Source organism: Homo sapiens, chromosome 17 (assembly GCF_000001405.40).
Source record: "Homo sapiens chromosome 17, GRCh38.p14 Primary Assembly".
Taxonomy (NCBI): Eukaryota; Metazoa; Chordata; class Mammalia; order Primates; family Hominidae; genus Homo; species Homo sapiens.
This window is the reverse complement of record NC_000017.11, coordinates 45,039,852-45,052,175: the sequence shown is the minus strand read 5'-3', so window position 1 is coordinate 45,052,175 and position 12,324 is coordinate 45,039,852. Positions and strand designations below refer to the sequence as shown.

Genomic DNA, 12,324 nt, shown 5'->3' with positions numbered 1-12,324 from the left:
CGGGGGTTGCGGGGGACCTCTGTGCCGTGCTCCGGGGCCGAGCTCTCCCCGCCGGCCTCTCCCGCGTCCGTCCGGCCGCCCTCCCGCCCAACCTCTCCCGCCCAACCTCTCCCGCGTCCGCCCGCCCGCCCAACCTCTCCCGCGTCCGCCCGCCCGCCCAACCTCTCCCGCGTCCGCCCGCCCGCCCAACCTCTCCCGCGTCCGCCCGCCCGCCCAACCTCTCCCGCGTCCGCCCGCCCGCCCAACCTCTCCCGCGTCCGCCCGCCCGCCCAACCTCTCCCGCGTCCGCCCGCCCGCCCAACCTCTCCCGGCCCCGCCCGCCCGCCCGCCCAACCTCTCCCGGCCCCGCCCGCCCGCCCGCCCAACCTCTCCCGGCCCCGCCCGCCCGCCCGCCCAACCTCTCCCGGCCCCGCCCGCCCGCCCGCCCAACCTCTCCCGGCCCCGCCCGCCCACCCAACCTCTCCCGGCCCCGCCCGTCCAACCTCTCCCGGCCCCGCCTGCTGGCCGGACGTCCGGTCTGCAGGCGCGCGCTCCCGAGGTCCCGCCTCGCCCGCTGAGCCGGCCTGTAAGCGCTGCGGAGATTGGGCTAGAGGCGGAGGCCTGGGCCACGGCGGAGGCGCTGGGTACGTAGCGCGCCACGCGGGCCGGTGAGAGCCAGCCGGGCGCCGGGGAGGGGGCGGGCCCTGGCCGCGGCTGCTACGCGGGGCTGCCACCGCCCCGGGCGACCCAATTTCGCGGCCTAGTGGGGCGTACGGGCCTCTTTTGAAAGCCTGAGTTACGATGTATTGAGCGCGTCGTATGCGGCCAGCACTAAGGCAAGTGCTTTTATATCCACGGCCCATTGTCTTGACAGCAACCCTACCAAGCAACGTGTTATTTCCTCTGTTTTACGGCTGAGGACGCGCAGGAAGGTTTACAGCTAGAAAGGGCTGGAGATTGTGGATTCAAACTCAGGATCAGACCAAAGCCACTGCCCTTTAGAACTTTGCGGGCCGATTGATTCTTGAATCTAGCTTCTGCCACTTCAGTTGTGTGACCTTGGGGTATCTTTCCGATCCCAAGTTTGCTCATCTGAAAAATGGGAATAAAGCTACAGTATCTGTCCCATAGGGTGGGTATAAAGTGCTTTACTGTTGAGCTGAGTGATCATCTCCGATTTTCAGACCCCTCTCCTCCGCTTCCCTCTCCCCTGGGAGGCCAGTTAAGGTTTTAGTGAAGGCCCCCGGGACTGGGGCGGCGTGGATCTCACGCCCACCAACTAGTGAGGGAGGCCATCCGGCCACCCGTCTCTTCCTTCCCCAGCTCCGCAAAGGAGGCGTTGGCATTTCAGGTGTTTGCTTACAGAGTTTTCAAAGATTTTTCACTCTCCCTTAGTTGTGGGAAAATGATTCAACCTACCCAAGTGAACTTTGACATTAAGTCTCAATTCTAACGGTGAGGAAATGGAAGCCTTTGAATATGTTTTATGTCTTAAACGTGTTTGTTTTTGCAGGAGGGAGAGTGCTCATTTTACCTGAATAAATCAAGATTGAGTTGGTGTGGCACAGTGCTGGCATAGGCCTGGGGAAAGGGGTGAAATGCTAGAGATCTGGTAGATGGATAGAAAGTGGACAGACGGGTTCGGGTGGTTTTTGTCTCAGCAGGGCCCTAAATTCCCACCAAATCCTCCTCTGTCTGTCTTCACCAAGGTCTGAATCTGTCCCCTTGGTAAATAACGTTTAAATGGTCTCCGAGCCCCTCTTGGTGCCTGTACCTTAAGGAGAGAAGAAGAGGGCTGATAGCTGAAGGCAGGCAAGCCACGAACTTAGCTTTGTTTTGAAAATTACCCTCTGGGCCGGGCACGGTGGCTCACGCCTGTAATCCCAGCGCTTTGGTAGGTTGAGGAGGGTGGATCACCCGAGGTTAGGAGTTCGAGACCAGCCTGGTCAACATGGTGAAACCCCCGTGTCAACTAAAAATGCAAAAAAATTAGCCGGACATGGTGGTGCATGCCTGTAGTCCCAGCTACTCGGGAGGCTGAGGCAGAAAAATCGCTTGAACCCGGGAGGCTGAGGTTGCAGTGAGCCGAGATCGTGCCACTGCACTCCAGCCTGGGCAAGAGAGTGAGACTCCTTCTCAAAAGAAAGAAAGAAAGAAAAAATTACCTGCTGGGAGGCCGAGCGCGGTGGCTCACGCCTGGTAATCCCAGTATTTTGGGAGGCTGAGGCAGGCAGATCACCTGAGGTCAGGAGTTTGAGACCAGCCTGGCCAACATGGTGAAACTCCATCTCTACTAAAAATACAAAAAAATTAGCTGGGTGTGGTGGCGGGTGCCTGCAATCCCAGCTACTCAGGAGGTCGAGGTAGGAGAATCACTTGAACTCAGGAAGCAGAGGTTGCAGTGAGCTGAGATCGTGCCACTGCACTCCAGCCTGGGTGACAAGAGCAAGACTCTGTTTCAAAAAAAAAAAAAAAAAAAAAAAGGAAAAGAAAAAGAAAATTACCTGCTGGCACAGTTTTAGATTGATAGCTTTAGATTGAAACTTTCACATTTTTATTTTGAAGATTACAGAGGATAAAAGTTCTGGTTAATTGTGAATGTTGATATTTTAAAATAAAGCTGTTAAAATCCTCATTTAAACCTGCAGTGAAGTCTAAATATACACCATTTGATTTGATTTCCCTCATCTTTTGAAAAAAAAAAAAAGAACCACTTTTTATTTAACCATCGAAATTTCAAATCGTTCTTTTTTTCCTTTATTTTTTCCGAGATGGGATCTTGCTCTGTTGCTCAAGCTGGAGTGCAGTGGCAGTCACTGGTTACTGCACCCTTGACCTGCTGAGCTCAATCCTCCCACCTTAGCCACCAAAGTAACTAAGAGTACGGGTGTCTGTCACCACATATGGCTGATTTTTCTTTTTATTTTTAGTAGAGACGAGGTCTTGCTATGTTGCCCCGGCTGACTCCTGGTCTCAAGTGATCCTTGCATCTCAGCCTCCAAAAGTGCTGGGATTAGAGGTGTAAGCCACCATGCTTGGCCCTTTTTCCTTCTTGAACTCATATTTCCACTTTGTTTCCTCACAGAAGTTTTTTCTAATGTAATAGTTTTTGTTTTTTTGAGACAGGGTCTCTGTCACCCAGGCTGTAGTGCAGTGGCGGGATCACAGCTCACTGCAGCCTTGACCTCTTGGGCTCAAGCAATACTCCCACCTTAGCTTCCCCAGTAGCTGGGACTGCAGGCTTTCGCCACCATGCTCAGCCAATTTTTTTTTTCCAAATGAAAGCAAGATTATTAGGAAAATAATGGAATAAAGAATGGCTACACCATAGGCAGAACAGCCCTTGTGCTGCTGGTTGGCTATTTTTATGGTTCTTTCTTTCTTTTTGAGACAGAGTCTGTCTCACTCTGTCACCCAGGCTGGAGTGCAGTGGCGCAGTCTTGGCTCACTGCAGCCTCTACCTCCTAGGTTCAAATGCTTCTCAAGCCTCAGCCTCCTGAGTAGCTGGGATTACAGGTGCATGCCACCACGCCTGGCTAATTTTTGTTTTGTTTTTCTTTGAGATGGAGTCTCGCTCTGTCACCCAGGCTGGAGTGCAGTGGCACGATCTCGGCTTACTGCAACGTCTGCCTCCCGGTTTCAAGCGATTCTTCTGCCTCAGCCTCCTGAGTAGCTGGGACTATGGGCATGTACCACCATGCCTGGCTATTTTTGTATTTTTAGTAGAGACGGGGTTTCACCATATTGGCCAGGCAGGTCTCAAACTCCTGACCTCGTGATCCGCCCTCGGCCTCCCAAAGTGCTGGGATTACAGGCATGAGCCAACATGCCTGGCCTAATTTTTGTATTATTAGTAGAGATGGGCTTTTGCCATATTGGCCAGGCAGGCTGGTCTCAAACTCCTGGCCTCAAGTGATCTGCCTCCCAGAGTGCTGGGATTCCAGCTAATTTTTTTTTTTTTCCATTTTTTTGTAGAGACAGAGTCTCACTATGTTGCCCAGGCTGGTCTTGAACTCCTGGCCTCAAGTGATCCTCCTGCCTTGACTTCCCAAAGTGCTGGGATTATATGCATGAGATACTGTGCCTGACCATGTAATAATACATTTTATGCCTGAAAGCCTTTGGTTTATCATATTTCTCTGCAACAAAAATACATACAAAATTAAAACTTTTTTAAAATTGTGTTATCATGAGTATTAAATGTTTCTTTTGGATTGAGTTGTCACAATTATAAAATACACAATTGATAAAAACAATGTTAACAAAGTTTTATTTGAGTATTTCTCTTAATAAGCTAAGTGGGCCGGGTGTGGTGGCTTATGCTTGTAGTCTCAACATTTTGGGAGGCCAAAGCAGGCAGATTACTTGAGCTCAGGTGTTTGAGACTAGCCAGGGGCCAGACGCGGTGGCTCACGCCTGTAAACCCAGCACTTTGGGAGGCCAAGGTGGGCGGATCACAAGGTCACAAGTTCAAGACCAGCCTGACCAACATGCCGAAACCCCGTCTGTACTAAAGATACAAAAATTAGCTGGGTGTGGTGGCGTGTGCCTGTAATCCCAGCTACTGGGGAGGCTGAGGCAGGAGAATCATTTGAACCGGGAGCCGGAGGTTGCAGTGAGCCAAGATCGCGCCACTGCATTCCAGCCTGGGCAACAGGGTGAGACTCCATCTCAAAAAAAAAAAAAAAAAAAGAGACTAGCCAGGGCAACCCAGCAAAACCTCATCTCTACAAAAAATTTTTAAAAATTAGCCGGGCGTGTTGGTGCATGCCTGTAGTCCCAGCTACTTGGGAGGCTGAAGTGGCAGGATCACCTGAGCCTAGGAGGGTTGAAACTTCACTGAGCTGTGATCACACCACTGCATTCCAGCCTAGACAATGGAGTAAGACTCTGCCTCGAAAAAAATAAGCTGGGTGGAGCTTTTTAAACCTCATGTATCTATCCATGTTTATTTGTATATTTACTAGAGTGAGCAGAGTGCTTTTTTTTTTCTTTGGCTGTAACCATTGAAAAAGTTTCTTCATGTAAATTAAATACACAGGAGTTGAAGGCTTTTTTTTTTTTTCAGCAATATCACTCAGTTCTTTGAACACCTTCTGAATTATGGGCCGAAAAATCACATTGAATTATTAATAATCTGTCAGTCCACAGTTCTTTTAGGTCCTCCTTTAACTTTCTTGAAGGCCAAGGTTTAGAAACCACCTGACTCATGCAAGGATTTGTTCCTTAGTCACTGTAGGCAGTCACTTTCTTAGCATGAATACTGACCTTTTGAATTGCCCTTTCTGGTGCCCAGGGGATTTTCACCCTGTGGGACCGTGCACCTCACCTCAGTATGATTTAGCATGGGTGGATGGTTATGCCTTTCTCTGAAACATGGGAGATGGGTGAGTGTGAAGGAGGAGCTGGGTAGGAGAGCCAGTGGGAATTGAGTTGGAAATTTATGACGCTGAAACTCTACCTTTGTGCCTCTCAGAAAATCTTCACGCATCACCTAAGTGTTCTCATTCTCCTGTGTGTAGGCCACCTGGCACTACCGTGGGCAAACATAGAGCTGCTTTTTTTTTTTTTTTTTTTTTTTGAGATGGAATCTCGCTCTGTCGCCCAGGCTGGAATGCAATGGCACGATCTCGGCTCACTGCAACCTCCACCTCCCAGGTTTAAGCGATTCTTCTTCCTCAGCCTCCCGAGTAGCTGGGACTACAGGCACGCACCACCACGCCTGGCTAATTTTTGTATTTTTAGTAGAGATGGGGTTTCACCATATTGGCCAGGCTGGTCTCAAATTCCTGACCTCGTGATCAGCCCTCCTTGGCCTCCCAAAGTGCTGGGATTACAGGCAGGCGTGAGCCGCCGTGCCCAGCCAGAACTTCTTTTAACTTCCATTTCCTCACTTTGAGAAAGTGCTGCTCTTACACTCTAGTTCCGCCTGCTGGGAAGCTCACCTTCCTAGGCACTCTCTCCCACATTTTCCTCATCTTTTAGCCCAATATATTGTCAGTCCAGGAATGTGGAGGTGGGAAGTAATGTGGAAAGGTTTTGTGATTCTCATTTTAAAATAGTTGATGTTGCCAGGCACAGTGGCTCACGCCTGTAATCCTAGCACTTGTGGGAGGCCGAGGCAAGCGGATCACTTGAGGTCAGGAGTTCGAAACCAGCCTGGCCAACGTGGTGAAATCCCGTCTCTACTAAAAATACAAAAAAAATTAGCTGGGCGTGGTGGCAGTGGCTGTAATCCAGCTACTCGGGAGGCTGAGGCAGGAGAATCGCTTTAACCCAGGAGGTAGAGGTTGCAGTAAGCCAAAACCGCACCATTGCATTCCAGCCTGGGCAACAGAGCAAGGCTCCGTCTCAAAAACAAAAACAAAAAAAGTTAATGTTGAGTTCCAGCTTGCCCATGAGCTAAATATTTTGCTGCATGGTTTATGTATTAATTCAACAAGTATCTTTTTTTTTTTTTTTTTTGAGACAGAGTCTTGCTCTGTTGCTCAGGCTGGAGCGCAGTGGTGCGATCTCTGCTCACTGCAACCTCCCCCTCCCGGGTTCAAGTGATTCTCCTTCTTCAGCTTCCCAAGTAGCTGGGACTACAGGCACACGCCACCACGCCCGGCTAACTTTTGTATTTTTAATAGAGACAGGGTTTCACCATATTGGCCAGGATGGTCTTGAACTCCTGACCTCAAGTGATCCATCTGCCTCAGCCTCCCAAAGTGCTGGGATTACAGATGTGAGCCACTGTGCCTGGCTAACAAGTATCTTTTAAGGGCCTATTTGTCAGGCCCTGTTTTTGGCACCTTGGATACAGCAGTACCCAGATTTAGAGAGAGGCAGATTGCAAGATATCAACACAAAGCCAAGTAATGTGTTGGGTGGTGACACGTTGGTCAGCGCTGTGAAGAAAAGGAGGCTACAGGATAAAGCAGGGGTGCTGTTTTATATATTTGGGGACAGTTTCTCTGTAAGGTCCCCAGTTCCCCTGCTTTCTGTCCGTGTCCTGACCAGGCTGTGATCCAGCTAGCTGCAGGGTTGAATCCAAACTGGGTCCTTGAACATTCCCAGGCACCTAGATACCTAGATAAAGGTGCCTATAGATATCTAGATACCTAGATAAAGGTGCCTATAGATATCTAGATACCTAGATAAAGGTATCTAGGTTGTTGCCCAAAATACTGAAAGAAACTGGCCCTGGCCCTGAGCCAAATTCCTTAAACCTTCATATAAACTCCATGCCCTGACCCTCTTGCTGTCGACATACCTAGGTAGAACACCTCATTTCTCTCGCTGTCCATTGAGAGCAGTGGTGCAGCCCACTCTGTAAGGAAGTTCCCCTAATGAATGCTTATAAATGCTTTGGACTGATCACCCTGGCGATTAGTGGTTCTTTCTTTAGAATCCCAACCAGCCTTGTCTTGAGACAGTTTAGGGCATTCCCTTGTGGGAACTCTTCTGCCACAGCTTTTATTTATTTATTTATTTATTTATTTATTTATTTATTTATTTATTTATTGATGGAGTCTCTCTCTGTCTCCCAGGCTAGAGTGCAATGGCACAATCTCGGCTCACTGCAACCTCTGCCTTCTAGGTTCAAGTGATTGTCCTGCCTCAGCCTCCTGAGTAGCTGGGACTACAGGCACGTGCCACCACACCTGGCTAATTTTTGTATTTTTAGTAGAGACAGGATTTTGCTATGTTGGCCAGGCTGGTCCCGAACTCCTGACCTCAGGTGACCCGCCTGCCTCAGCCTCCGAAAGTGTTGGGATTACAGGCGTCAGCCACCGCACCCATCCGCTTGCCACAGCTTTTAAGGTGATTCCAGCCAGTTCCAGACGGGGGTTGGGTTCAGCGGGACAGGACCTGACAGTCTCTGATGGGGGGACGATTGGGCAGAGAAGGGAGTGAATGGGGCAGCCCTCTGGGGAAGAGCCTTGTCTGGGACTGTGGGGACATTGGGGCACAGGCCTGAGGGCAGTGATGTAGGGGGGAGTGGTTGGAGATGCTGGGAGGACATAGATGGCCTCTTTCATGAGGCTTCTGTAGGACTCTCCATGGACTTGGCTTGTACTCACTGAGATGGTAACTGTTAGACGGCTGTGAGCAGAGGCCTGACATGATCTGACTTGCATTTCAAAGGATCACACTAGCTGCTTTGTTAGGAGCAAACAAAGTTTGTTCCTAACTTTGGAGCAAAGGTGCAGCAGGAAATGGCTCAGAGGCTGCTGCAGGGCTTCCGCAGCGACATGGTGGCGCTCATGCACCGGGGGCTCCTTGTGGGCTGTGCAGGTGGGAGGTAGCGCTGGCCGGGCACTGCGGGTTGGATGGAGGGTGTGAGAGAGGCCAGGAGGATTCCGAGGCTTTTGGCCTATACAAGTGGAAGGAGGGAGGAGGGAGGTACTGTTTAGGGAAATGGAGTTATGAGAAAAACCCAGAATTGTATAGAAAAACATTCCCCCAAATCCGGAGGGAGCCGAGAGACCAAAGAATGATTCGGACAAGTCCAGCTTCGTGAGTAGGTGAGCGTATTAGGACTTAAATGGAGGGCACTCCTCAGTGGCAGCAGGACAGCTCTGGGCGTCCGTGCCGCCTCCCGTCTCCAGGCTGCCTTTAAGCTAATTTTCTGGCTCTTTGCCTCCGGTGTGTGTGATGAGACTATTTTCCTTGGTATGTGCCCAGCTATGCCCTAGGATGTTTGGGTTCTCAGGGACACGTGCTCCTCAGCTGGGCACCATGGCCTTGGCTTACCGCCCAGCCTGCAGGGTTCAAGTGGCGGACATACATACACCCTTAAGTAACCCATCACACTACAAATGGAGTAGACTGCAGTGGCTGTGACATGTCACACACTGAGTTGGGGAAGATGAGGTGACTGTGACCTATGTTGTCACCTCATTTAATCCTGACACGACCCCATGAGTAGTCATTACAGATCTTTTTTTTTTTTTTGGAGACAGAGTCTCACTCTGTCACCCAGGCTGGAGTGCAGTGGCGCGATCTCAGCTCACTGCAACCTCTGCCTCCCAGGTTCAAGCGCAAATCCTATTTTATACTCAAGGAAAGAGAAGCTCAGGATGCTGAATTAAATTGCCTACAGCCATACAGCTAGTTAAGGGACAGAGCTAATCCCAACCAAGGTCCCTTTGACTCTGAACCCTCTGAGAATGTGCAGTCCCTGTGATCCTTTTTTTGCATAAATGGCAACAAAGTAGTCCAGTCCAAACAGCCTCCCTGCTCATTCATGAAAGCTGGAGTGATGGTTTGTGCTTGGAGAGTGCTCAAGTAGAGAAGAGAGACCTGTCCCCTCCCTGCCCTTGGTGTTGGCAAAGGGAGCAGGGAGGACACAGAGGGAGGCAGACGCCAGCTCCTTTCCTTGTGGCTCTCTCCAGGTAACTGGCAGCCTGGAGGAGGTGGCGGCTTAATGGGCCTAGCCCACGAAGAGAACTTGGACTTGAAGGTTTAAACAGCAACCTCTCACCAATAATGAAAGATTAGGAGTGGGGAAGCCGTATACAAAAATAGCACTTAATAGTTAACTGGAAAACAATATATTTTTGCAACCACTGGTTCCTCGAGAAATAATTGGGTCCCAAGGCAGGAAATGACTCGTTTTCATGAATGATTATATTGATCATTGGTGCAAAACAGATACACCCCCTTAGGAAAGCAGTTCTGTCTGGCTAGTCAGGCGGCCCCAGTGTGAAATCCTGAGAGGCGGCAAGGGGAGGAGGACAGGGGCTGCAAGCCGAGGGAGCCAGGTCCTGGCCTGGCACACGCAGGGGCGGGTCTGTTGAATGGGGGATGAGAAGGAACAGAATTTGCCTCCAACATAAGTCCTGAGCTGTCCCAAGGGAAGAAGGTGACAGAGTGAGACCCTGTCTCAAAGAAGAAAAAAAAAGTCACATGAACAGAAATGAAAGTCCAAAGCATGACGAGTCCAAAGGAGGGAAAGTAAAGGGAGTGGTGAGAGATGGCAGGGGCATCATTTGGGTTGGGGGATTGGATGAGGCTCCTCCAAGGGGATGTGACTTGCTCCCATGCTGCTTCAGGTCCTGGGTCAGACAATGATGTGCCTGTCACTCTTTTTTTTTTAAGTCAGGTCTTATTCTGCACCCAGGCTGGAGTGCAGTGGTACAGTCATGGCTCACTGCAGCCTCCAACTCCTGGGCTCAAGCAGTCCTCCCATCTCAGCCTCTCAAGTAGCTGAGACTACAGACATATGCCATCATGCCCAGCTATTTTTTTTTTTTTAAGAGACAGGATCTCGCTTTGTTGCCCAGGCTGGCCTCTAACTCCTGGGCTCAAGTGATCCTCCCACCTTGGCCTCCCAAAGTGCTGCGATTGCAGGCGTGAGCCACCATGCATGGCCCCCCATTGCTCTTGATACCCTTACCCACTTACCACCACCACACTTACTGGTACTGTGAGTTTATTGTTTTACCCCTCCCCTGCTCCCCCCACCACCCCTTCTCGTGCCTGGTGTCTGATTGGTTGACACAGTCAGTACAGGGTGACTGAAGAGTAGTTAGCCCTGAGGTGAGTCTGGCAGAGAGAACACCAGCACAGAGGCTTTGGGGTCGAAAAGAGCCCGCATGTGGCTGGGCACAGTGGCTCACGCCTGTAATCCCAGCACTTTGGGAGGCTGAGGCAGGCAGATCACGAGGTCAGGAGATTGAGACCATCCTGGCTAACATGGTGAAACCCCGTCTCTACTAAAAATACAAAAAATTAGCCGGGCATGATGGCAGGCGCCTGTAGCCTCAGCTGCTTGGGAGGCTGAGGCAGCAGAATGGCGTGAACCCGGGAGGCGGAGTTGCAGTGAGCCGAGATCGCACCACTGCACTCCAGCCTGGGCGACAGAGCCAGACTCCGTCTCAAAAAAAAAAAAAGAGCCCGCATGTTCAGGGACAGAAGGAAGATCAGTGTGACAGGCACCAGGCATCGTGGACAGGGAGTGACTGAGGGAGTCACACAGGGCCTGGAGACCTCTGTGAAGGGCCAGGAGGAGGCGGGAGAAGGCAGTGAAGGTTTTAGATGGGAGTGACATGATCAGATGACTCCTTTAAGCCATGACCCTGGCTACCTTGGGGAGAAGCCAGGCCGGGACGAGGGGGTCAGGTCATGAGGCTACTGGAGTGGTCAGGGCACAGGTGCTGGTGGCTTAGGCTAACAGAGTGGGCCTAGTGGGATTAGAACTTGGCCAGACCTCCCAGAGCAGTAGGGCTTTATTTAGCCCATTAATTTTTCCCTAAGAGAAACACTGCCAGAGGAGATTCTAAGACAGACCATTCTCTGAATGTATTTATTCTTCTTGGGGCTACTGGGCCCAAGAAGTAAAAACTGAGAGGCAATTTGGAGACACCCGATGCAAAAGAGCCCACCACTTGTGGAGCACAATAGAATCTGATCGTCATTTCACAGGCCTTAGAGCTTCACTGCAGAGTTGGAGCGCAGGCACCAGCTCTAACCCAAACTCCTTGCCCTTTTCTTTGCACCCTGCTGCCTTTCACTGACATGGAGAATGAGGGAAAGAAAGGATGGGGTGTGGCTTCCCTGGGATCAGAGGCTTGCTTTTCTTTCTGGCTCCTCCTTGGCTGATGAATCCCATACCTGGGATTGGTCCCAGAATCCAGCTTCCATTTCTCCTGCACAGTGCATTGGCTCCTTCTCTGTTACTGTGGACTTGGTGTTGTCCTTCCGCCTCCAGCCAAGCCAGTTCTGTGAACAGCTTTTGGTGTTGAGGAGGAAGATTCCCAGGCCACCAACAGTAATGTCATCCCTTGGTTTGCCAGGGGAGCTTTTTTTTTTTTTTTTTTTTGAGATGGAGTCTTGCTCTTGTTGCCCAGGCTGGAGTGCAATGGCACAATCTAGGCTCACCGCAACCTCCGCCTCCCGGGTTCAAGCAATTCTCCTGCCTCAGTCTCCCGAGTAGCTGGGATTACAGGCATGCGCCACCATGCCTGGCTAATTTTGTATTTTTAGTAGAAATGGCGTTTCTCCATGTTGGTCAGGCTGGTCTCGAACTCCTGACCTCAGGTGATCCTCCCGCCTTGGCCTCCCAAAGTGCTGGGATTACAGGCATGAGCCACCACACCCGGCCTTTTTTTTTTTGAGATGGAGTCTCACTTTGTTGCCCAAGCTGGAGTCCAGAGTGGCATGATCTCTGCTCACTGCAACCTCCGCTTCCCAGATTCAAGCAATTCTCCTGCCTCAGCCTTCCGAATAGGTGGGATTACAGGCATGCACCACCACGCCCAGCTAATTTTTGTATTTTTAGTAGAGATGGGGTTTCGCCATGTTGGCCAGGCTGGTCTCGAACTCCTGGCCTCAAGTGATCCGCCCACCTTGGCCTTA

General features: G+C 50.9%; 1 protein-coding gene across 9 annotated transcripts in view, besides 8 other annotated features; it reads left to right on the top strand.

The window, feature by feature from the left end:
- Window positions 1-12,324, top strand: part of DCAKD (dephospho-CoA kinase domain containing) — a 37,794-nt gene that overhangs the window by 8,956 nt on the left and 16,514 nt on the right. For 3 of the 9 annotated variants that reach the window (NM_001288655.2, XM_047436773.1, XM_017025103.2), the window contains exon 1: window positions 544-815. The gene's annotated coding sequence lies outside the window, so the exon portion shown is untranslated. 9 annotated transcript variants of the gene reach the window in all.
- Window positions 404-903: a silencer, noted in NCBI's record as "silent region_8608". NCBI's record gives its function as "represses an Ori minimal core promoter by ATAC-STARR-seq in GM12878 lymphoblastoid cells {active_cell/tissue: GM12878}" and the evidence as "EXISTENCE:reporter gene assay evidence [ECO:0000049][PMID:35858748]".
- Window positions 3,989-4,519: an enhancer, noted in NCBI's record as "H3K27ac-H3K4me1 hESC enhancer chr17:43125025-43125555 (GRCh37/hg19 assembly coordinates)". NCBI's record gives its function as "activates a minimal SCP1, AML or CMV promoter by ChIP-STARR-seq in primed H9 embryonic stem cells {active_cell/tissue: H9 hESC(primed)}" and the evidence as "EXISTENCE:reporter gene assay evidence [ECO:0000049][PMID:30033119]".
- Window positions 4,520-5,052: an enhancer, noted in NCBI's record as "H3K27ac-H3K4me1 hESC enhancer chr17:43124492-43125024 (GRCh37/hg19 assembly coordinates)". NCBI's record gives its function as "activates a minimal SCP1, AML or CMV promoter by ChIP-STARR-seq in primed H9 embryonic stem cells {active_cell/tissue: H9 hESC(primed)}" and the evidence as "EXISTENCE:reporter gene assay evidence [ECO:0000049][PMID:30033119]".
- Window positions 7,292-8,176: an enhancer, noted in NCBI's record as "H3K27ac-H3K4me1 hESC enhancer chr17:43121368-43122252 (GRCh37/hg19 assembly coordinates)". NCBI's record gives its function as "activates a minimal SCP1, AML or CMV promoter by ChIP-STARR-seq in primed H9 embryonic stem cells {active_cell/tissue: H9 hESC(primed)}" and the evidence as "EXISTENCE:reporter gene assay evidence [ECO:0000049][PMID:30033119]".
- Window positions 8,177-9,062: an enhancer, noted in NCBI's record as "H3K27ac-H3K4me1 hESC enhancer chr17:43120482-43121367 (GRCh37/hg19 assembly coordinates)". NCBI's record gives its function as "activates a minimal SCP1, AML or CMV promoter by ChIP-STARR-seq in primed H9 embryonic stem cells {active_cell/tissue: H9 hESC(primed)}" and the evidence as "EXISTENCE:reporter gene assay evidence [ECO:0000049][PMID:30033119]".
- Window positions 10,217-10,851: an enhancer, noted in NCBI's record as "H3K4me1 hESC enhancer chr17:43118693-43119327 (GRCh37/hg19 assembly coordinates)". NCBI's record gives its function as "activates a minimal SCP1, AML or CMV promoter by ChIP-STARR-seq in naive H9 embryonic stem cells {active_cell/tissue: H9 hESC(naive)}" and the evidence as "EXISTENCE:reporter gene assay evidence [ECO:0000049][PMID:30033119]".
- Window positions 10,852-11,486: an enhancer, noted in NCBI's record as "OCT4-NANOG-H3K4me1 hESC enhancer chr17:43118058-43118692 (GRCh37/hg19 assembly coordinates)". NCBI's record gives its function as "activates a minimal SCP1, AML or CMV promoter by ChIP-STARR-seq in naive H9 embryonic stem cells {active_cell/tissue: H9 hESC(naive)}" and the evidence as "EXISTENCE:reporter gene assay evidence [ECO:0000049][PMID:30033119]".
- Window positions 11,487-12,121: an enhancer, noted in NCBI's record as "OCT4-NANOG-H3K27ac-H3K4me1 hESC enhancer chr17:43117423-43118057 (GRCh37/hg19 assembly coordinates)". NCBI's record gives its function as "activates a minimal SCP1, AML or CMV promoter by ChIP-STARR-seq in naive H9 embryonic stem cells {active_cell/tissue: H9 hESC(naive)}" and the evidence as "EXISTENCE:reporter gene assay evidence [ECO:0000049][PMID:30033119]".